Source organism: Homo sapiens, chromosome 11 (genome assembly GCF_000001405.40).
Source record: "Homo sapiens chromosome 11, GRCh38.p14 Primary Assembly".
NCBI lineage: Eukaryota > Metazoa > Chordata > Mammalia > Primates > Hominidae > Homo > Homo sapiens.
Genome location: NC_000011.10, coordinates 88,417,337 through 88,441,275, shown reverse-complemented (window position 1 = coordinate 88,441,275; position 23,939 = coordinate 88,417,337). Strand labels below are relative to the sequence as shown.

Here is a 23,939-nt window from a genome sequence, read left to right as displayed (position 1 = left end):
CATTTGGAAAGACATGAATATCAAAATTCCTAAAGTTGATAGGTTTTTCATTGCTCTATTGTCTTTCTGGGATGAGAAAAACATTTTGCTGTAAAAAAAAGAATTCAATTTAAGTAAATTCAATTCTGCAAATGTATATTAGGTTTCTGCTGGGATAAAAGGTCCTATGCTAAGTTGAGGAAAATCTCAACTTGAACACAAAAAGACAATCAAAAGACATAGAGATGAATCTGATGTTGAAATTATTTAACACAGATATTAAAGCACATATAACAAAAATAAGAACATTACAAATAGTCCTATAACAATTAAAAATAGAAATATTACCAAAGAAATGATATTAAAAAAACATTTTAAAACTGGAAGAAACAAAAACCAAAAAAAAGTGTTCACCACTCTTATTTAACATATTAATAGTATTAGAAATTCTACCCAGCATAATATGTTAAGAGAAATGAATAAATAGCATATAAATTGAAAAAGAACAAGTAGTACTATCCTTATTCACAGAAGACATGATTGTCTACATAGCAAATCCCAAGCAATCTACCAAAAAAATATTAAAAATAATGAGCGAGTTCACCAAGGTTGCAGGATACAAAATCAACACACAAAAGTTAATTGCATTTCTACATACTAGCAAAATTAAAAACAAAATGGCATTTACAAATGTTCCAAAGAAAACAAAGTACTTGGGTATAAATATAAAAACCTTGTACAATATCTATATGATAAAAATTATAAAATACTAATAAAATAAATAAAAGATGACCTAAACTAATGAAGAGACATACTACATTTATGCATCGAAAGACCGAAAACAGTAAAGATATGAATTCTCCCCAAATTGATCTATAGGTTTAACAAACTTTCTATTAAAATCCCACTAAGAACTTTTGTGAATATAGACAAAATTATTATAAAACATATACAGAAGTTAAAGGACCTAGAATAGCTAAAACAATTTTGAAAAAGAAGAATAAAGTGATAGCAATCCCCCTACCTAATGTTAAAACTTATTACACAACTACAGCCATGAAGACAATGTAGTTTTGGCAGAGGGATAGGCACGTAATTCAATAGAACACAACAAAGAGCTCAGAAAGAGCCCCACACAAATATCATCAACTGATTTTTGACAAAGGTCCAAGAGCTAATTTGATGGAGCAATTATAGTCTTCAAAATAATCGTGCCAGATTAATTAGACATACAGATTGGGGGGAAAAATACACGTCAATTTAAATAAGAAAGAAAAGAAGAAAACATATGCAAAAATCTTCAGGACCTAAAACGATATAAAGAGTTCCTATTCTTAACACAAAACCATGCTCCATAAAATGTAAAACTGATCTCTTTTTTTTTTTAAGTAAAAACTTTTTCTCCGCAGAAGACCCTGTGAAGGAGATAAAAAGACAGTAAGATCCAGGCTGAGAGAAGACACTTAGAAACCATATATCCAACAAAGGAATAGTATCTAGAATACGTAAAGAACTCTCAAAACACAACAGTAAAAAATTACAGAATTCAACTAGAAAATGAGCAATAGACATGAATAGATGGTAATAAGCATATAAAAAGATGTTCAGTATCTTTAGCCATTAAAAGAAGACAAATTAAAACTGCAGTGAGAAACCACCAGACATCTATCAGAATGACTAAAATGAAAACTTGTGATAACAAGAAATCCTGATGATGCAGAAAAACTGGATCATTCGTACAATGCTGGTGGGAATATAAACTGGTACGACCAGTCTGGAAGAATAAGGCAGTTTCTTATAAAACTAGGTGAAAGGTACATGAGATTTCTTCGACATTTTTTTTTTCAATCTCCTATACATTACTACAAAGCAAAAAAATTTAAAATACATATTTACTGTTATCTTCTGTGTGATCATATTTAAACATTCTTAATTGACTTCCTATTATAGAAAATGAGGATTTTAACTTTTTTTTATTCTCCCTTTCCCTTCATCCCTCTCTTCCCCCATTATAGTTATTATGACAAGTATTGGTTAAATCTGTGTTTAGTATTTGTATAATTATGGTATTATAAATATTATTCACTGATGAAACAGGTAGCCTATTATCACTACATTTATTTTCTTGAATAAATTCCTACTTACACTGGTGTTAAAACCTCCTCTTTGTCCCATTCGTTTAGAGTAAATATATAGCTACGCCTTGGCCCTACTTTTTTGACAACTATACACAATTTTATACACAGAACACCTGCCAATTCCATTTCCCCCTCAGAGACTTTGCTGAGATTTCCTGTCCTGTACTTTGCTCTGGATGCTGGTCTACATAAGTTGTGCTGCATGGTGGAAGACCTGGAAGTTCTGTCATCATTCTGGGAATTCTCCTCACTTGGTTCCTGTGTTTGGTTCCCTGCTTCCTCAATTTGATGTTGTCCTGTCTTGGTTTACTCCCTTTTTTTTTTTTTTTTTTTGGTGGTGCACATATCTAGCAGCTTCCTGAGAAGACCTACATGCAGACAAATATTTTATATGGCTGAAACTATTTTAAATTTACCTTATACCTGATTGATTAGTGAGCTGGGCTATGATTCTACACTGAAAAAAAAATTTCGTCTCAAAATTTAGATTAGTACATAATAAAAAATTAATGCATTTATCTACAATTTTTTATTCTTAACATAAAGAATCTTAAATTTTATACATCTTAATCTTTATATATACTGTTTTTTACTACCTAGATCAATTTAAAATGAACCTTTATCATTGTAAATTTATGATTATTTCTTTGGGTGAATTCTCAGTGGGCCTTTTCCACCAGGAAACTCCTAAGAATTTTTCTTTTATCATTTCTTTGACAATTTCCTTCCTTCCATTTCCTGCTCCTTTTGTTCCCAAAATCCTTTGGCTAAACAACACCTTCTAAAGTAATGCCCTAAATTTTATTTTATTTTATTTGTTTGTTTGTTTTGAGACATTGTCTCGCTCTGTCACCCAAGCTGGAGTGCAGGGGTGCTATCTCAGCTCAATGCAAGCTCCGCCTCCCCGGTTCACGCCATTCTCCTGCCTCAGCCTCCCAAGTAGCTGGGACTACAGGCACCTGCCACCATGCCTGGCTAATTTTTTGTATTTTTTAGTAGAGGCCAGGTTTCACCGTGTCAGCCAGGATGGTCTTGATCTCCTCACCTCATGATCTGCCCTCCTCGGCCTCCCAAAGTGCTGGGATTACAGGCGTGAGCCAACGCACCTGGCCTATTTCTTCCATTTTTATCTCTGCCTTTTTTGCTGTACTTTGTGGATGATTTCATTGACTTTATATTCTAAACATTTTACATTTTTAAAAATTTTGAATACCATATTTTATTTTCTGATAATTTTCTTGCTTTCTGATTGTTTTTTAAAGCACTTGGATTACATCTCACCAATACAATATCTTCCCTTATCTCTGTGGCTATTAATTATAATTTCTTTCATATTTTCTTCTACTTATTGGGTTGTCCGTAATTTTTCTAAGTTCCTCTTTCGTTTCTGTTTGCTTTATTTCTGTCTTTCATTTTAGGTATGTCCCACAATATTCAGTGATTGTTTCTTATTCATATTTAAAAGTGAGACCCTAAAGAGCTTATTGAAAGTTCTGTGCATATATTCAGGGCTTCTTAATTGGTATATATCACTCTAAACTGACCAGGAAGTATTTTAGACTTTTTTTACACTTCTCCAAATTTCAGTATATGTAGGCCCCTTCTCTGAATCAGTTGTGTTTCTTTCACTTTTCCTCCAGAGGAGAATCCTTTAAACTTCTATCAGGGGATATAAGCCCAGCTACTGACATTTTGAAGCTAGTTGAACAAATGGATCTGAGATGGGAAATCTTACCTTCAATATAGACTTTAATCTAATCCCCCTGACATGCTTTGGATGTTTGTCCCCTCCAAATCTCACATTGAAATATTACCTTCAATGTTGGGGGTGAGACCTAGTGGTAAATATTGTATAATGGGGGTGGATCCCTCATGAACAGCTTAGCACCATCCCCTTGGTGATGAGTTCTTGCCCAGCTCACACTCAACCTGTTTAATAGAGTGTGGCACATCCTCCCTCTCTTTCTTGCTCCTACTCTCACCATGTGATATACCTGCCTCCTGCTTCACCTTCCACCATGATTGTAAGCTTCCTGAGGCCCTCACCAAAAGCTGAACAGATACTGGCACCATGCTTCCTGTACAATCTGAAGAACCATGAGCCAAATAAACCTCTTTTCTTTATAAATTACTCAGCCACAAGTATTTCTTTATAGGAATGCAAAACGTGACCAATACATACTGTTTTAAGTACGGAGCTTTACTGTTCTGTTGAGTCTCCCCAAATCCATAGCCTCTCTCAGTCTCTCAAGAAAATATATCTCCAGTTTTTTTCACTCATGAAGGAGTGGACTAAGTCCTCCTATGAAGACTTTAAAATAGTCCTTCAATTGTCAGCCCAGCCAGAAATCTCAAGAACTTTTTTTTAACTTGGAAAAGAAAAAGAAGAATGCAATTATTAACTCAGTTCCCATTATGTCTCTGACACTATGTTGCCACCATATTTACATTATCTTATTTAATCTTCCATACCTTATAAGATATATCATTCCTATTTTACAGAAGATGAAGCTGAAGCTCAAGTGGCTAATTAAGTTTCTCAACATCACACAACTAGTAAGAGTTCAACATAATTTATTAATAATAAATTTGATATAATGTATTGTTGGAGTTCTTTACTATTTTATCGAAGTTTGTGTGAAAGTTCCAAGGTAGGCACCAGAGTATTAGGAACGTCCTTGTATATCAGCCGATACGGATGGCTTCTTAGATGTTCATGGACCTAACGTACATGATCCTGCCTTGCTGATTCCCTAGGGCACAGGCATCTTTTCTAAGTTGGGTAATGGCAATGGCTACCATATGGATAGCATACAGCTATCCTTAGCTGCTCCACACAGGCATATGCTCTATGGTGCTGAAAACACTCTGGAGGGTGAATCATAATGGGACATGAGAACTTGCTGTTTTCAGAACCCATCAACCTTTATCTGTTTCCCAGGCTAAGGAAATCTCTCAAAAGTATTTATATCACTGTCATCTCTACCTTTCAGGGACATGAATAGCATAATCTCCATAAGTTTTAAGTCTTTTACAGAAAAATAAAGAAGAGTGATAGATCTAAGAAGCTTCTGTTTCTCACTCTAGAGAAAATAATGAGGCAATGAATTAGCCTGATGAAATATTTTTTGGAATGGGAGATGGAAAAATAAAGGTAAACAAAACAATTTAATATCTGATCAATTATTCTGACATATACATACTACTTTTAAAAATCTGGCCATTTCAGCAAACTCTCTGTATGACACCACTGGTTTTTAAAATCATGTCTTTCTGTTGTTGGTTGAGGCCACTTGCAATATACAATGTGAATTGCTTTTTTTTTTTTTTTTTTTTTTAGAACTTTCCTATTTCTCTAGTAGACTTCCCTTCCAGATGTCTTATGATGGTGTGTCATTATCGTTTTTTCTCCGAATTTCTTGAAATCTGATTCTTAAAGCAAACTTCAGGCTATGCTTACTGTTTCCTGCTCTCACTATTACAAACTAGCAACATATGGCAGCTTTCTACTCACAGGCAAGTCTCTTTCACTTCACTATATGTTTAGGCCTCAAGTGTCAGTTCCCCCTAGGTACTTTCTCTTTCTCAGGAACAAAATCATCAAAAAGTCAAGAATCTGTTACTCTTTTAGCTGAAGGAGTGTTTTTTGCAGATGCTGTGGGATTGGCTTTGTGTGCTTCTTTGGTTGGTGTATGGCAGATGCACCTGATGGCAGTAACAGCATACCCTGAGAATGCCCCTATGGTCTAAGAAGAATGTGTGTTCAGAGTTTTGAGCTAAGGAATCTGGGAGTGGCCAACCTGGAGATTTATGCCTTATGTATGAGGAACATATGAACCCTCAGTCCATCCCATGGAATACAGGTCATACAGAGGATCGAGGCCCTTTGTATGGGCTTAAATGAAGATTGCCAGGTGGAGGTTGTGCTAAGGGGAGGGTGCTAAGTGAAAATACTATATAAACTTCATATTTTTTACAAGTGGTTGCAGTTCTCCTGTCTAGCCTGCTACTATTGGACCACCTTGCATGTGAGTCCCCTCAGTAAATCCTATGTCTTATTCACTGGCTCTAGTTCTCTTCTTTGGCCTCTTATACATGATGCTATCCCTACTGAAGGAAATATGGGTCGAGCATGACAGTTGGGACATGTTGCTCATTTCTGTTATGGGTATCTGCTGCTTGTATGTACAGCTACTATGATGTCACCTCTGTTCCTCTCCTGCTATCACCATGAAAATGGACTCTAAAATCTAATGTAAAGATTTCCACAGTATACACACTTTGATATACAGTAGAACCCTGCCCCCCTGTAAGGTACATGGATGTGCTTTGGTCAAGGATAGGCCGGGGTGCATATCCAGGCCTACATGACTCAGCAAGTTTGAGGCACAGGCGCACACCTCCATCTGTTACATCACCTGTTTTTGTAAGTTCATACTTGGCTCTGAGCCACTATTACCTATAAAAGGTATAATTGCTCTGCTAAAGCTGTACAGGGGCTCTTGGGGCTCGGCTTGGTTCAACATGGATCTTGTGCTGGTGCCCAGAGAGAGGGCCAAAGCTGTCCCGTCTTGCAGATGCACAGAGGGGAGCCACAGCACTGCTCACGCTGGTGCCCAGATATAGAGTTAAGCTACTCACCGTGAAGGCAAGGGGGAGCCAGTGGTGCAGCTGCAGGCTTGAGGGCAGAAGGAGCCATAGAGCCAGAGCAGACAGCCAAGATAAAGGTGCATACTGTAACGTAGTGTAAGTAAGTTGTCAATGACAGCTGCTGCTGAATAAAACCGTATTCACCTGCCTACAGCCCCCTAAGTGCTCTTTCTACCCATCCACCCACTCCCCTCAGACTGCAGCATGGGCTGGACCTGGACCCCACGATCTGACAATTGACAAATATGGATGGGAAGAGGTGGGCAGATCTTCAGTCCCTGAGGGCTCCCTGGTTGGCTATGAGGCTGCAGCATGAGCTGTGGTACCTGGTGGCAGCGGTGCTGCATGGATGGGAAACATAAATGATAGTGGATGGGTCTCCTGGGAGTGTGGAGAAGGCGCTGCATCACCTGGAAGTGCAAGCATTGACAAGAGGCATGCCTTTACAAGCAGAGTCAGATGGCCATTTGTGACTGTGCTGTAGGGCGTGCATGCCCAGTCCTTGCAGGACGCAGCACAGGGAGAAGGAAGAACCTCCATTGCAGGCTCACCCAGTGATCCACCTGAAAATAGAGCATGAGCAGCTGTCAGGCCCCAAGGGTGGGCCAGAGACCCCACTACTGTGGTGAAACACATTACCTTTGTTGCCTGTGTCCCCGCTAAGTTGTGGGAGTTAAGCAAGTAATGTCGGCAGTCACGTACAGACTTAGTGCAGGTCATTTGGGAGAAGGATATTGCTTCACGACCCAGTCCTGCCCTAGCATTCCACTTCAAAGAGTACCTGCTGCCATTAGCGGGAGTGTAAAGCCTTTTCTGTTTGATAAGAGAACTGGTCGAGATGCGCGGCTTGTAGGGGGGCACCGGACAACCAGAGCTACCTTTGGACTTGGCAATCTACTGGTCCCTGAACCTGGATAAATTTCCAGGCAGAGCTGCATTTATTAATGGCTGTGAAGACCAGTCAGTGAAAATGAAAACCTGTGTCTTTGCATCTTGGCATGGGCCGCTTTGCTCTCTGTGTATGCACTGTGTCTCTCCCATACCTGATGCATTCTGGGGCTGAATGTTTTGCATGGTTTGGTAACTGTGATGTCTGTTATGGGCTTGATGGACCATTTGACAACAGAATAGGGACAGTCCACTGAGAGCCAGGAACAGTTTGCCTTCATGGGAAGGCAACAATGAACTTTCACAGTGTTGCTGCAGGGCTATTGTATGGCCCCAACATATGTTGTGATTTTGTTAATAATGTAATGTTAACCTCTGATTCTCTTGCAGGTTGAAAAGTGGCAGTGCCCTTTCTTGTCTGGAATTAGGATGATGAGGCTAAGACAGCCTTTCTGTGTAGTAAATCAAGGGTGCCCATTTACACTAGATGTACATCTAACCACAGATAGTTTTGGCTGGGGCCTATAGCAGTGCATGGAGTGATTGGAAGTGCCAGTGGGCTGTTAGTCTCAGCTGTGGAAGGGAGTTGAGCTCTGGTGTTAATAGAGAAGCAGTTAGTAATAGCAGGATGGGTGTGTTCCTGGGTAACCAGCCCCCAGACTGGGAAAGCAGCTAGTGACTGCATATGCTGCCCTTCAGGCCCATAAGAGCATGGCAGGATGGGTTACAGTCATCATGCAGGCAACTTGCCCTGTAGCTGGATGGGTGCATTCGTGGATAATGAGCCCCTGGACAAGGATGGTGCAGACATCCATTTTAATGAAGTAGGGTGCCTACTTAGAGCAGCGGAGTATGCTGAGTACGACTCCCTTAGCAGCAGAGTTACAAGAGGTTTTAGGGCTTGTAGTCCTAATACAAGATAAGGCCATGGGGCGTGAGGCACCCCTAGACCCTGAGCCTTCACCATTAGGAAGGGCATCCCCCCATTCCTAATAGGGCATGGTACACAGCTGGGTCTAGCTGGGGTGCTACTGCTGCCTGGAGTGCTGGTGCAGCCCAGCCTAGTACTGACACCACGTGGTTTAAAACCAGGTGTAGGCAAAGTTGCCAATAAGCTAAACTCAGGGCAATGTGGATGGTAATCACCAAGGAAGTGACACCTACTGTAATCTGCGCCAATAGCTGGGCAGTTTATCAAAGCTTGTATATGTAATGGGCCTGCATGCCCAGAAGCTTATGTATGTATCAGGCCTGTGTGCCCAAAGCTTATGTGTCAGGCTTATGTGTCAAGCCTATACGTATGTACTGGGCCTGTGTGTGCAAAGCTTATATGCATAACCTGTGTGTCCAAAACCAATGTCTCTCTCGGCCTAGGGGGTGGAGTGTAAGGTACATAGATGTGCTTTGGTCAAGGATAGGCCAAGGCAGATATCCAGGCCTTCATGACTCAGATAGTTTGGCGCACAGGTGCACACCTCTCTTTGTTATATAACCTGTTTGTATAAGTTCATACTTGGCTCTGAACCACTATTGTCTGTAAAAGGTATAATTGCACTGCTAACACTGTACAGGGGCTCTTGGGGCTCAGATTGGCTCAGCATGGCTCTTGTGCAAGCTCTGGTGTCCAGAGAAAGAGAGAGAGCCAAAGCTGTCCATCTTGCAGACAAAGGAGAGCCACAGCATGGCCCGCACTGGTGCCCAGGGAGGGAAAGAGTTAAGCGGCTGACCCTGAAGGCAAGGGACAGCCAGCCACACAGCTGCAGGCATGGGGACAGCAGGAGCCACAGAGCCGGAGTAGATGGCCAAGATAAAGGTGCACAGTGTAAAGAGCTAGTGTAAGTAAGTTGTTGATGAGAGCGGCTGCTGAATAAAACCATATTCACCTGCCTACACCCTCCCGCTGCCACCCCACCCCCAGCCCCCCACGTGTTCTTTCTGCCCATCCACTCACTCCCCTCGGACCACAGCATGGGCTGGACCTGGACCCTGGGATCTGACACTCCCACACTACAAAAATGTACTGTTTTTGGAAAGAGCTTACCCTTAAGCCACGATTTTCCAAGTTTGAGCTTCAACCCAGAAAGTCTCAGTAATTTTAATATATTTGTATTGATTGCCTGATGTGCTAATCTCAACTTCACATATGAATATGAACATATACCCCTTCTGGTCTTATTATTTTCTTTTTTTAGAGTTATAAAATACTTGGTGTTTTTCTGTCTTTACTCTGTATCTTAAAGCATTTTCTCTCACCTTCTCCATAGTTCAGTGCTGTTAATTGACAAAAAAGCTATCTAGTAGGCCATATATTCTCAAAACTCAATGCATAAGGAGCACCTGTAAAGCTAATTTACAGAAGCTAACTCAGTGTCTTCCAACCCCTTTTTCCTGCTGAGCTCAGTAAGTTGGTGATAAGGCCCAAGAATTGGTATTCTGCAGACCACATATTGAGAAGAGCTATTCCAGACAAGCAAGTGTCCCCCACTTCAGTGAGATGAGCTACATTATCCAAGTTTCATCATTCCAATATCTTAGGCCATTGTCCAGAAATTCAGATGATTGCCAATACCATCTGTGGAGCCAAATGTTCAACTCCACGATCATTTTTCTCTTTTAAAGTCTTCTGGATAGGAGGAAATGTTGAACATACCACCTGGGATCTGTAGTGTCCTTACTTCCTTCAACTTTCTACCCAAACCTCAGAAAGCATTATATTTTCAAATGCCACCAAGTCAGAAAGAGCAAGAAATGGTTAGCTCTTTTGCCAAAACTTATCCTTCCCCTATACAATACATGCTTTGGAAAAATAGGACATCTCCTGAAGGATAAAGATGTTTACATTCATTTGCATCTAAATGAATCAGTAGAAAGTTACTAATCACTGATAACGGGTACCTGCCTCCTACCTTCAAAGGCAAGACTTACTTTACCTAAAATTATTTGAAAATTATTCTTACTGGAGCATGTGTTTCCCAAGATCTAATTTATCTCAATCAGTGGTTCTAAACCAAGTGCAATTTTGACACCAGGGGACATTTGGCAAAGTTTGGAGACATTTATGTTTGTCATGAGTGAAGAATGGGGGAGCTACTGACATCTCGTGAGTAGAGACCAAGGACGTTGCAGTACATAGTACAATGTACAAGACACCACCCCACCCCACTAAAAAACAGGAAATAAATGTAAATAGTGCCCGGATTGAGAAACCCTGCTGTATATGAAACAAGCATCATACCTACCATGAATACACAGTAACTACCATATGCTAACTATTTGTATTCTTATTAAATATATGCATCATGTTAGATCAGTGTCATAACTTTTCAAAATTCATTCTGATCCCTCAGCTTTTGGCTTTCTTATGTAACTTTCTATTCCATATATTACTTTCTTTTTCTTATTTTTTCTGTATTAGAGGCATTATCGTGAACATCTGTGTTTTTGTATCTCCAGCAACTCTTTATCGGAACAGCATCTCAGCTGCTGCATGTGATTACTATAAGCCAGGCAATCATGAACTCCCAAAAACCCTAAACACATGGGTGATAGCAGGGCCCAATGCTAAGCGGATCTTTTCCTGCTGGGAATGACACACTTAAGTGAAGACACACAAGAGTACAAGATCTTTGTAACTAAGTCATCCAGTGGTACTACTCTAAAGAGAACGGTTACACATTTCTGCTGCTGCAAGCTGTACTGAGTTATCTTTTAATTACTCAGAATATTTTCACTTTTTGTTTGTTCATCATCATTAAAGACTGATACATGTTGCTAGTAGCCAAAGAACAAGAGATAATAAACGTTTCTTTTTTTTTTTTTTTTTTCTCGCACTGTCGCCCAGGCAGGAGTGCAGTGGTGCAATCTCAGCTCACTGCAACCTCAGCCTCCTCAGTTCAAGCACTTCTCCTGCCTCAGCCTCCCGAGTAGCTGGGATTACAGGCGACCACCACCATGCCCAGCTAATTTTTGTATTTTGGTAGAGATGGGGTTTCACCATGTTGTCCAGGCTGGCCTTGAACTCCTTACCTCAAGCAATCCACCCACCTCGGTTTCCCAAAGTGCTGGTATTACAGGCGTGAGCCACCGCGCTCCGCGGGATAAATATTTCTTTATTGTTGATCTGCTGACACAGCGAAGAGAGATTCTCCCAGCTGCTTCACTTCTTCCTTTTGAAAGAAACTAGCCTGAATGTGTTCACAGTTATTTGGGACTTACCTCTGGTGAGGAAAGCAGTATACATCCCTTGAAGTTCTGAAGCCCTCGCCTGAGCCCACTCAATAAACAGAATATTTTACAACAGTGTTACTTAAAAGGTGGCCTGCCTTCCAGGAGTACCTGCAGCTTATTAGAAATGCAGATTATGGAACTCACATGACTGCAGGTCTCAAATTTCAGCCTGCATAAAAATCACCTGGAAGGCTTGTTAAATGAAGAGGCCTAGCTTGCCCCCGCAGAGATTCAGCAGGTCTCAGATGGGGCCCAAGAATTTTCTTTTCTATCCAGTTCCAAGGCAGTACTGCTATTGCTGTTGTTCTTCAGACCACATTTAGAACAGCTCTGTGAGAACATGTCACTTTTTCTCCTTTTTAATCTTTATCTTATCTGACATAAAGCACAGTTGCTTCAGTTGCAAATAAAAGAAACCCACCTCAAACTGACTTAAATAGCAAAGGGAACTTATGTCCTGATACAAATTGCAATTTAGAGGTTTGAGGGTTTCAGCTGTAGCCCAATTACATCGCCAACTGCCTGGCTCCTTCCAAGTAATATTCTTTTTGAATATTGCTGAAAACTGTGAAGCTGTCAGATCTGATGGGGATGTGTTTACTAATGTGGCCACTACTCAAATTTATCTTTAACCATATCCATATAGCATTTTTAGCATATTGTAGGCCTTCAATGAATAATAAATACAGATCTCTGTCATTCCTTCTTCTTTGAACAAGCTGTTGTCTACCTGGAAAATAATTTTTTATCTACTCATATATCCGTTCCTTATATCACAATAACTCCCAAATGTCAAGAACCCTTATGTGCTAGGTAGAGAATGGAGAACAAAACAGCCATAGTACTACTTTAAAAAGCTTTAATAACTTTCTAAGAAGCTTTCCTGACTTCCTACCCTTATTCCCATTCCCTAAACCAACTTAGGAATACTTGCTAGTGCCATCCTTCCTCTTACACTATGTACCCCATGATATTGTATATATAAAGTAAATAGAAAAACATAAATAAGTGTAAAGTGTAATAGATACAATAAAGTAGAAAGAGATGACTGGGGGAATGTGACAATGTGGATATAAAGGCCATGGGGATTTTGTAACTTAGATCAGGATCCTCTCAAGTGATCTTATTACGATACTCTCATTTTGAAGTGTGAAACACACAGGGTAATAAACATTGGGAAAGCATAAAAAATCCCACAAAAGAAATTACATTATGTTTTATTAAATCAGAGTTTAAAAATATCTGATTATGTCTTGAAAAATCAATAACGTTGTATTCTTTTTTAATAATACTCTTCTGTCTTGGGATAGTTAACTGTATTTACTGTTATTTTTCCACATAAGCAGAAAAAATAAAGCCATGAGGGAGTGTATTGGAGATGTCTGCAGTTGAGTCAATCCTGTAGAGTACAGAGTTGATTTATAACTCCATTTGATCCATTTGCTTTAGTGATGGTCTTTTCTCTTCCAATCCAGCATGGTAAAGATCTGTCAGAGAAAACAAATGACTCAGACTCCATGTGCTGTGTCTGTGTACAGTTTATCCGTCGTCCTTCATGTTCTTCCCTTATGCACATCTGACAATGTCTCTCAAGGTTAGTGAAAGAGTGAGCATACCTGCTAAGCAAATTGGAAATAAAATCAGAAATGTTTTTTGGAGAAAATGCAGCAAAGAAGCCATCTCCTCCCTCCTGCCCCAATTTATCATGTCTTTAAGATTTTCTTTTTGGTCTTCTTCATCTCTCAACTCATGAACTTTGGCATTGACATAGCCAAGATGATTTTTTTCTTTCTTTCTTTCTTTTTTATTTTTATTCTTTTTTTTTTTTTTTTTTTTTTTTTTTTGGTTGGAGAAGGGGTTATGCTTTGCTGCCCAGGCTAGAGTGCAGTGGTGTGATCAGAGCTCACACCACTCACACTACTGGGGAGTAGTCCTAGCTGGTCCAGAGGCTGAGGCTCAAATGATCCTCCCACCTCAGTTGCTGGAGTAGCCAGGACTACAGGGATGTACACCAGGTCCAGCTAACTGGTTTTTTATGTTTTGTAGAGATGAGATCTGGCTATGTTACCCAGGCTGAACTTCAATGCCTGGCCTGAAGTGATCTTCTCACCTTAGGCTCCCAAAGTGCTGGGATTACATGTTAGAGCCACCATGCTCAGCCCAAGATGACTTTTTATGGTTGAATTTTCATGTTTCTATAAACAATAATGATGGTGATGGTGATCTGATGGCTTTGTCAAAGGTCAAGAAAGTTCCAGGACTGTTGAGTTAGAAATAGCGTGTCACGTTGTTTGGGTCATTCACAGCTGACAGATGGGCAAACCACAAGCAAAGGAAATGAAAAAGACATCTGCTGGGCAATTCTGTAAAAGACAGGATCAATTTTTTGTGGGATAAAGGATTCTTACAATTTTGGACACCGCACTAAGAAAAAAGGAATGCAAAGTAACAAATAAATTGTATGAAAAGTGTTTAGAAAATGAAGAAAAGAAATGGGAAAAATTTACAAATATAAAAGTGCTGATGGATACCACAAACATCACAAAATTCAGAAAAATAACAATATTCGTATTAATAGCTACTATCTTCTTTTCCATTACGTACTCCCAATTGTAGATGCTATAGGGCACTTTTATATATAGCAGAATAACTCTGGCCCTGCAGGTTCACATTATGATACTAAGTAAACTTCATGGCGAGCAGTTAGGAATAGAACTGACATTGCCATACTTAACAATTACTTAGCTATTTACAAAAAGACTGCAAAGCACATAAACTCTCACTAAACCCAAATAAAATGTACTCCCATTTCAATTTCCCCTTTTCTATATCCTAAAGTTGCCACAGGCTACTCTAATGCCCCTTTATAGGAGGCAGAGTATGCCAAGGGGTTGCAGTGGAAAGGGGCAACAGACGGAAATGATGTGGTTTAAATGTATTACAATTGTATATTTTACAAAGGCATAGAAGCAAGTTGATGATGATTCTGGAAGAGGACCTGGAAGGAGCCCCAGAAGGTGATGAGCCCTGAGGCTTAAGATTCATCAGCTTTATAGTAAATCCAACCAATGTACTAGGTGTACGTATTGAGGAACTTGACTATAAAAATTCAGTAAATGTTTTGAGAACCTGTACTAGACAAATTGGGGGGATTTATGATGCACATGGTATGGAGGAAGGGAACCTATTTATTTATATTTTCATCTTAGGATTTTTATCTATGTGAATATATTACCTGTTCAAAAAAATAAGTAAATATTTTTAAATAGAAATTTTAAAAGAAACCAGTGAGACATGGTTCCTATTCCCAGCTTTGATAAGCTTTCTCAAATTATGCAGGGGTGAAAGAAGAAAAAATAACTGAGAGGTTCAAGAACCCTCAGGAATGAACCAAGATATATAAGAATACCTATGAGAATATCTATATCTATGAGAATATCTATGAGACTATTGGAGCTTCAATTCAGACTTAATTCTGAGCAGGAAGGGAAGAAGAATGAAACCACATAGAGTAGAAGGGTATGCAGGCGGAGCCATTGTGACATTAGAAGTCTGGTGCAGTCACAAAAGTTCATTTATAAACTCTCGTGCAGAATGAGGGTCAAGCCATCTCAGATGTTAAGTAGGAATTCAGAAACTGGAAGGCCAGGCAAGGCACAATTGAATGGGCTGGACCAAACTGACCAGAGGAGGAAGTCTGCCTTTAAGCAAACTCTCACATGCCCCTGTTTACCACACAGTCACTAAACAAGCCAAGTGGTCCATTACTTGTCTTGTCTAGGAGGTAGCCTCACACCATAGATGTGTGCAAAGCTTCCTCCCTTAGCCCTTTATGAGCCCCTGACCTACACTTATGTGAACATAATAAAATAATTGTCATTTTAAGCCACTACAGTTGGGCAATTTGTTACACGGAACTGTAGCCAGAATACTATTCTTCGTCCATTTATTTTTGAAGCAAGATACTAAGAATGTTGAGTATAAATTATTTTGAATCAAGTTAGAACATTTTTGTTCAAAGGTCTGGAGGAATTCCCTCAGTGTGTTATGACATGTTGTTAGATGAGTAGATAGATAAGTAACACAACCCTCAGAGAGTAGCAGTTGCTGTAACCTCCAAGAAGCAGAGTGTGTGCCAGTCCTCCTGTACAACTGCATTCGAATCATGCTGAGCTCCCAAGGCCTCTGCAGCCTTGCTGTGCCCTTTTACCTCTAACCTATGTGTGTGCTATCCCTTTTGCCAGGAAGTGCGCTTTCTCCTTTCTCCTACAGCTTCTCGCGTGCTATTTCCTTTCTACTACCTTTCATTCCTTCGATCACTTCCGTCCTCTCATCACCACCTTCTTCTTTATCTAAATCTACTTGGCACCACTTCCTCTAGCAAACATTCTGTATCCAACTCCATACAGGGTAAGTGAGCTTAGCTTCTCTAATTTTACAGCCCCCTGCTTTTCTCTTTGTGAGCAATCACCACCTGCAGGTTAACTGCCTATCTGCATAACTCTTTCACAAAATTGTAAAATCCCTGAGGATAGGGAAAAAGGCTATTTTATTGTGGTACCACCAATGCTCTAACATGCACCTAGAATTTAGCTCATAGTGTGTGCTCAATATTTATGGACCAAAAGGATAAATGAAGTATAACGTGTCCTTTAATACTGCAAGGATTCACTTCAGTGACCTTTTACCCCAGTTTTTGTTAGTATGCATTATGGACTAAATATTTGTGTGTCCCTCTCCCCGTCACCCCACTACAAATTCACATGTTGAAATCCTAACCTTCAATGCAATGGTGTTGAAAGGTATGGCTTTTGAGAGATAATTAGATTATGAGGGGAAACCTCCTTAAATGGGGTTAGCACCCTTATAAAAAAAAGACTCCAGAGAGTTCTCTTGCTCTCTTTCTACCATTGGAATATACAATAAGAAGTCAGCAGTCTGCAAACAGGAAGAGGGTCCTCTCCAGAACCTGATCATGCTGGCACTCTGTTGTTGGATTTCCAGCCTCCAGAGCTGTGAAAAATAAATTTTTATTGTTTAAACAATATAGTTGGTAGCATCTTATTATAACACCCCAAGCTAAGACAGTGTATATTGGCCAAATGGGACTGAACCTTTTTTCCATTCTCAGAGAAGAGGAGGAACCATTCTGTGAACCAATACCAAGACGTGGGCCAGTGAAAGCCATTGGATAATCTCTATATTGACCTGGTTCCTAATATTCTATGACCAACTATGATGGGCCAGTAATAAAGTGATACCCCCAATTCTGTTGGAAGTAGTATAACTTCAGAAGGAACTGCCCACACTCTCTTTCAGGCTTTTCAATTAAGCCTGGGCCAGTGTGGGCCATGCCCTGCCCATCTCCACAATTTAGACCTTCAGGTGGCTGTGGTAAAGGAGAAGGTCTGGCCTACAAAAGCATGGTCATGCTGACCCTGACTGAGGCTAGGCAAGGCTGCTCAGAAGCATGGGAAGGATGCAATCCTTAGTCAAATTACCTGGCCCAATTTTTGCTCTGCAACATATTTCCCATGAACGGGTAAAGCTGTACTCATTGATTGCTATGGTCTGAATATTTGTGTCCTCTCCAAATTCACAGGTTGAAACTTAGTCGCCAATGTAATGGTGTTGGGAGGTGGGACATTTTGGAGGTGATTAAGTCATAAGGGTAGAGCCCTAGGGAATGGGATTTTTTCCCTTATAAAAGAGGCCCAATTGAGCTCTTTCACTTCTTCCATCATCTGAGGTCACCACTAAAAGGCATCATCTATGAACCAGGAAATGGGTCCTTACCAGGCACCAACTCTGCTGCTACCTTGATCGTGAACTTCCTAGCTTCTAGAACGATGAGAAATCAATTTCCGTTGCTTCTAAGGTACCCAGTTTATTATATTTTGTTATAGCCTGAAAACAGAGGAAAAAATTGATAAAATGAAGAAAATGGTAATAGCCACATCACTAGAATGTTCTTGAGATAAATTAGCTGATAAATGGGTAAAATGTAAAGACTTAACGAGGTATGGATAAGACATGGTAAAAACATCAGTAAAGGATGAAGGACATCATCTCTATTAATACAGCAAATAAGTGGCTCAGCCATTTACCCATGTCCTTGAGCAAGTCACTTTATCATCTTTGCACCTTTCTGCTCAAATGCAAAATTGAAGTAAAAGTTGTATCTACCTACATATGTTAATAAATGTAAAATGCTTAACCCAGAACCTAGCATGCACTAAATTCTCCTTAAAGATTAATGAAACACTAGTATGTATTCTTAAACGCCCTTTGAAAGTTTAGGAAGGTTTTGTTTGTTTGTAAGAATTAAAGGAGGCTTCATGATGAAGGAGGTATGTTGTCTGTGTTTTGTTTTGTTTTAATTTATTTTATTTATTTATTTATTTATTTATTGTTTGAGACAGCCTCACTCTGTTGTCCAGGCTGCAGTCCAGTGGTGCGATATCGGCTCACTGCAACTTCCGCCTCCCGGGTTCAAGTGATTCTCCTGCCTCAGCCTCCCAAGTAGTTGGGATTACAGGAGTGCACCACCACGCGCAGCTAATTTTTGTATTTTTAGTAGAGACGGGTTTCACCATGTTGGCCATGCTGGTCTTAAACTCATGGCTTCAAGTTATCCATCCGACTTGGCCTCCCAAAGTGTTAGGATTACAGGCGTGAGCCACCATGCCTGGCCTGTTGTCTTTGTTTTAAAAAGTAGGTAGCATTTGGACATAGAAAGACAAGGAGAAAAATCTAGGGAATTTTTTCTAACCTAGAGAATTAAACAGGTACATTTTGCCGGCCGGCACTATGGCATATGGTAGGCAAGAAGCAGTAGGGGTGGAAAGAAGAGAGAGGTAATCTGGAGACTTCTAGTCAGTCCAACCCTTGGCATTTCACAGACTGGAACCCATAGAGTCAATATAGAAACTGAACCAGACCCTTTATTCTGGAGGAATTTCCAGTAGATAATTAAAATTCAGTTTTTACTGCTTGGTCTAGTCTGTTAAAAAAAAAAAAAAAGGAAAAAGTCAATTTTAAAATTGTTCATCAAATTATCTGCTCTGTTTTTTACAATTAGAAAGATACTTACCTTTCCTAAGTCAAGGTCTTACACACAGACACACACACACACACACACACACACACACAATTTTACCTAGTAATTAATACAGAAATCCTATCCCACCTTTTTGACTTTTCTACTCCACCCACATCCCCTAACCCAGGACAATTTCAGCCACTACAAACAAAAAAACTAGCTGATAGAAGTGTAACCCAAACAAATTATTAACAACAACAGCAACAACAATAACATAAATGTTTATTGCATATCCCAATAGGCTTAACCAGCATTAAAATGATAAAGAAAACCTCATTCTGTCTCATCGTCAACTGTTCTACTCTAAAAAAATCTGTTAAAGGTAAGAAATATTTTTTAGAAAGTCAATAAACAAAAAGAAAAAAAAAAAAGTCCCCTGGAGAGTATTAGAGTGTTTACCACTGGGAGAGAGCTGCCCTCTGAAGAATAAAGCCAAATTACTGGCTTTTCTGAGCCTCACTGATGGGGGGAGAGAGGAAGAATTAAGACAGCTGTTCTTGTCTTAGTTGGAGAAGCTGCGAAGAGGAAACTGTGGGTGGTATGTCTGCTGAGTAAGACTTCTCAGAAAAGTGGTTCCTCCAGTTTTCAGGTTCCTGGAGGCCCATGACAGGCTACTTCCTAGCACTCATTCTGAAGACTTTGGGGTCAAGAGCAGCCCTGGCCCCCTATCCCTACTACCTACTGCTATCTCATATTTCCTGTGCTTTGGGGCTTTTCACCTAATAAATAACTGTCCTTTGAGTAAAAACACACCCTCCCAAATGCCAAATATATTTTAGTAATGAACTAGTGCAGGAATGGCCCTTTGAAACTTAGAACAGGCCTCACTGAAAAATAGTACATTCTTGTGACTTTAACCTAGGGTCTTCTATGCTAGTTCAGCTTAAATCCTCTGTTATCTCATTATGGAAAACTCACTTTTGTAGGGTTCCTCTAATTTTCTGCAAAAGCTTCAAATATTTGTTGTTTTAAGTCCTCCTTGTCCATAGAGTCTGACTATGAAAATGGAAAGAATCTTATTTTTAAGGTAGTCTAGCCCCTTAGACTAGTCCAGATTTGACTTCTCCAAGCAACATAATTCAGAGAGCTCTTCAAATAAATGATGCTATGATCCTATCTGGGCATCACCCCAGGAGGCAAGTGTCAGAGGTGCCTCAGACTTCTGGACGCAGGCTCTTTGCACTTACTGCAAAGCCTTACTGTCTCCAGAACACTTCCTTTCTGTTTTCCCTCTCCATCTTGTATTAGGATTCTCTTACCCGTACCGACATCCCATCTCCTTCATGTCTATCAAATCTTGCTAGCAGGAAGGCTGAGATCAATCACATATGGCTCAGTTTGAATTTGAATCCCTACACTCACTGTAACGAAGGAGAAGATTTGCTCTTGACTTGGAGAATTTTAGATTCTTCTTATTTATATGACCAAGAAGAGAAGTTTAAGGGAAGCCTCAAAATTATACCACAAAAACATTTGCTCACTTAGCCCAAACATAAGGCAGATATTGAATATGGTGAAACATGGGCTGGAAAGAGTTGCAAAATTCACTCCCCCCTATGCCCTGGGTCCCTCCTCAGCAGGGACAGCCAAGTTGTTTCCGGCTGACAGCAAACCAGTCCTGATATCCTGTTCTCATGACACACTCAGGCCCTTCACTGTTTCTGTTCATTCCTGACTATCTTTATACCAGTTGGAAATCCTGCTGCCGCAGAAACTAAAAATGACTCAAAAGCACTCCCTCTCTTTCTTCCAAAATTGTGTTTCTGCACAGCCTGTTCTGTGACCATCACATGACTCCACATTTGCTCATCTGTTCTTATCTGCCATCAAGTCCTGCAGGTCTTTCTCTGGAATCCTGTCCCCAACTCATTGCTCTTTCTCGTCTCTCCACAGCCTGGTTCTGAGACAGAGGGCAGCAATTTCTCATCCCAAATGCCTCGTCTGGGCTTGCAGAAGTTAGTCCAAAGACAGATTGTGAAATCTTCATTGTCAGTTCTTGGCCTTCCCATCCCCTTTGAGACTCTTCTTCCAGTGGGAAAATTACGCAGGCACGATATGTACGCATACAAGTATTCTTTTATGTGAGTTTTGGTGTTACTAATTTAGCCACACAGTATGACCTAAGCAGCATAGGAATTAAGCCTTAAATATTTCCTAATCATCTGTAAAATATTTTTCTCCATTCCCAATATATTGTCTTAGTTCAGGCCTTCATCATCTATTTTTTTTTTTTTACCTGAAACTGGTTTCCTGAGGAGTCTCCGTGCTTCTCACCTGCCTCTAACCTCTTCTTTCCCCATATGTCACACTACTACCACTGTAATCTACCAAAAATGCAAGTATGACTGTTAGTGAATCCCCTGATTAAATGTCTTAGCATCTGTAGGACAGAATTTAAGATGCCTAGCATGATATTCCCGATTTCCTCGGGAGTTGTCTCCTGCTCTACCCCAAGCTGCGCTTCAGGTGACAGGAACTATATACACATGATAGTGTTTCTTGTCCACTCCATGCTGAGCCTCTACTTCTCCTGGGTCCTCCTCCTAGAATGGCATTCTGTAGGTTCTTTCCTGCAAAATTTCTGTTCATCTCTACTCTGGCATCATTTAATTCTGAAAAAAAAATTTTTTTACATAGACCCATAATGTCCTACATGTAATTCCTTTATAGTATTTGCTATTTCATATTTTTATTAAAATGTTTTCAGTTATTTTTCTATTCATAAAGTGTATTTATAGCAGGCAATTTGAAAAATACAGAAAAATATGAAAAAAGACAAAGGAAATTATTCAGAGAGAAATGTACTAACATTTTGAGGTATATTTTCCAATGTTTGTTTCTATGTATATAGTCACACTTTTCTCTATCTTCTCTTTCACACAACACACCTATATAAACACAAATGTAGGTATGCAAAATCTTATATATTTTGTAACTACTTTTATATTTTACTTAAAAATATGAGTGTTGTTATAGCCTTAAGTGTTCAGAGTAAGCTCTTTGAAGAACAAGAAGTGTGTGTGCGTGTATGTGTGTGTGTAGATATGTGCGTGAGAGAATGTGTAAACAAATACATAAAAACATCCAGCTGAGTGAATAGTATATAATAGACTCTAAATAATTATTCATTGAACTAATTTATTAACAACAATGAAAGAGACATGGGAGAAAGAAAGAACATGAGATAAGCTGGAACACATGCAAGGTAAAGAGATGAAGAGAAGACAGCCCACCATTTGGAAAGCATTTATGACTTTTAAAGTTTTTATGTACTCTGTAGTTGATGCTCACAATAGCCTTCTATTTTCTTTTATTTTATTTTTAATAGAGACAGGGTATTACTGTGTTGCCGAGGCTGGTCTTGAGCTTCTGGGTTTAAGTAATTCTCCTGCCTTAGCATCCCAAACTGCTGGGATTACAGGCATAAGCCACCACGCCTAGCCACAATAGCTTTCTGAAGTAGCTATAGCAATTATTTGCAAATCAGGAAAGTGAAACTCAGAGAGGTTAAGTGACCTGCCCTAGGTTGTTCACTTTATAAGTGGCAGAACTAGTTTTTTGAATTCATAAACTATGTATTTACATTACTTTACACAGCTTCTGGGGGAAAAAGGGCAGCAACATGATCCCTACCAAGGTCTGGGAGCCTGAAGGGGTATTCACACTGCCTGGCATGGTGCCTGGCACAGAGTGCTAAAACAGTGATTGTTGAGCACAACTAAAAAGCAAACGAGAGAAAGAACAAACAGTAGACAATAGTGAGTATACAGGGTAAGGCACCGCAATCCACTTTTCTCCATCCTCACCATGCTTGTTTGATCTGAAAAAGCCTCCTAAATGATCTGCCTCCTGCCATTCAACACCCTTTTCATCTATCTTCCATAAACACAAATTGATCATGACAAATGATGTATTGGTTCCCTTTGCTCTTGGGAAAACATTCAGAATATTCTCCTAGCTTAAAAGGTTCTTCAGGAAGGAACACTTTTTTTCCATCTTGATTTCTCATTTTTCTTTCTCTTGTACATGCCACTCAGGCATATTCAACACCACTAAATCCCTGAAAGTGCTGAAACATTCTTTTCCCTGCTATTCCTGGATTACTGTTATTTTGATAATTTTTTTTTTTACTAGTTGTTATTAGTTTTCTATTGCTGTGTAACAAATTACTGTGCTGTAAAAATGTAGCACTTTTAAAAAGCACAAATTTATCTCACTATTTCTATAGGTTAGAAATCTGGCACAGTGTGGTTGGTTTATCTTTTCAGGGTCTCATTAGGCTAAAATCCAGGTAGTATCCAGGGCTGCAGCTCTCATCTGGGACGTATGGTCTTCTTCCACACTCACTGGGTATTGGCAGAATTCAGTGCCTCATGGTTGTGGGACTGTGGTCCCTATTTCCTTGCTGCATGGTCCTCTTTCTCTTCAAGCCAACAATGGTGCCTTGGTAATCCTTGTGCTTTGACTCTGATTTCTGCTTCTGCCTTCTGTTTTAAGGATTCATGTGATTACATTAGGCCCATCTGGATAATCAAAGATACTCTCACCATTTTAAGGTCAATTGCTTTGTAACATTACATCTACAAAATCTTTTTGCCATTTAATATAACCTATTCATGGATATAAACACCAGAGAGTGAAGTCCATGGGGAGCCAACATTCTGCCTATCACAATTATAGCATCAAATTTGGCTGAGGGGCCCTTCTTATAAGATTCATGCTCATTTATTTCTCTGCCTCCATTTCTAGAGTATAAGCTTCATGATGTCAGTGACTATGTCTACTGCACAAACCTGATGTGTTGCAGCTGGCTTGTCCTTGCTAAGAAGTGCTTATTATTAAATTTTCAGGAATTTTTCCATCTGTTTGTTAAACATAGCTATTATTTTAAAAAACAAATTATATTCTCAAAACATAATAAATGCTCTAATTCATTTCCTGTTTATTGTCATAGT

At 39.6% G+C, this 23,939-nt stretch overlaps 1 long non-coding RNA gene across 4 annotated transcripts in view, besides 5 other annotated features; it reads right to left on the bottom strand.

Moving 5' to 3' along the window:
- Positions 5,497-5,616: an enhancer, noted in NCBI's record as "active region_5386". NCBI's record gives its function as "activates an Ori minimal core promoter by ATAC-STARR-seq in GM12878 lymphoblastoid cells {active_cell/tissue: GM12878}" and the evidence as "EXISTENCE:reporter gene assay evidence [ECO:0000049][PMID:35858748]".
- Positions 5,647-5,696: an enhancer, noted in NCBI's record as "active region_5385". NCBI's record gives its function as "activates an Ori minimal core promoter by ATAC-STARR-seq in GM12878 lymphoblastoid cells {active_cell/tissue: GM12878}" and the evidence as "EXISTENCE:reporter gene assay evidence [ECO:0000049][PMID:35858748]".
- Positions 6,673-6,782: an enhancer, noted in NCBI's record as "active region_5384". NCBI's record gives its function as "activates an Ori minimal core promoter by ATAC-STARR-seq in GM12878 lymphoblastoid cells {active_cell/tissue: GM12878}" and the evidence as "EXISTENCE:reporter gene assay evidence [ECO:0000049][PMID:35858748]".
- Positions 6,823-6,872: an enhancer, noted in NCBI's record as "active region_5383". NCBI's record gives its function as "activates an Ori minimal core promoter by ATAC-STARR-seq in GM12878 lymphoblastoid cells {active_cell/tissue: GM12878}" and the evidence as "EXISTENCE:reporter gene assay evidence [ECO:0000049][PMID:35858748]".
- Positions 13,084-23,939, bottom strand: part of LOC101929174 (uncharacterized) — a 90,309-nt gene continuing 79,453 nt past the window's right edge. Inside the window, exons 3-6 of one of the 4 annotated variants that reach the window (NR_188508.1) lie at positions 17,679-17,789; positions 16,662-16,895; positions 13,993-14,245; positions 13,084-13,498 (exon numbers count right to left, since the gene is read on the bottom strand). This is a non-coding gene — a long non-coding RNA (uncharacterized LOC101929174). The remainder of the gene's footprint in view (positions 13,499-13,992; positions 14,246-16,661; positions 16,896-17,678; positions 17,790-23,939) is intronic. The other 3 variants (NR_188511.1, NR_188510.1, NR_188509.1) reach the window with 3 other exon arrangements.
- Positions 19,363-19,738: a transcriptional cis regulatory region, noted in NCBI's record as "candidate enhancer chr11.4758 targeted for multiplex CRISPR interference". NCBI's record gives its function as "positively regulates CTSC gene expression with high confidence in K562 cells {active_cell/tissue: K562}" and the evidence as "EXISTENCE:mutant phenotype evidence [ECO:0000015][PMID:30612741]".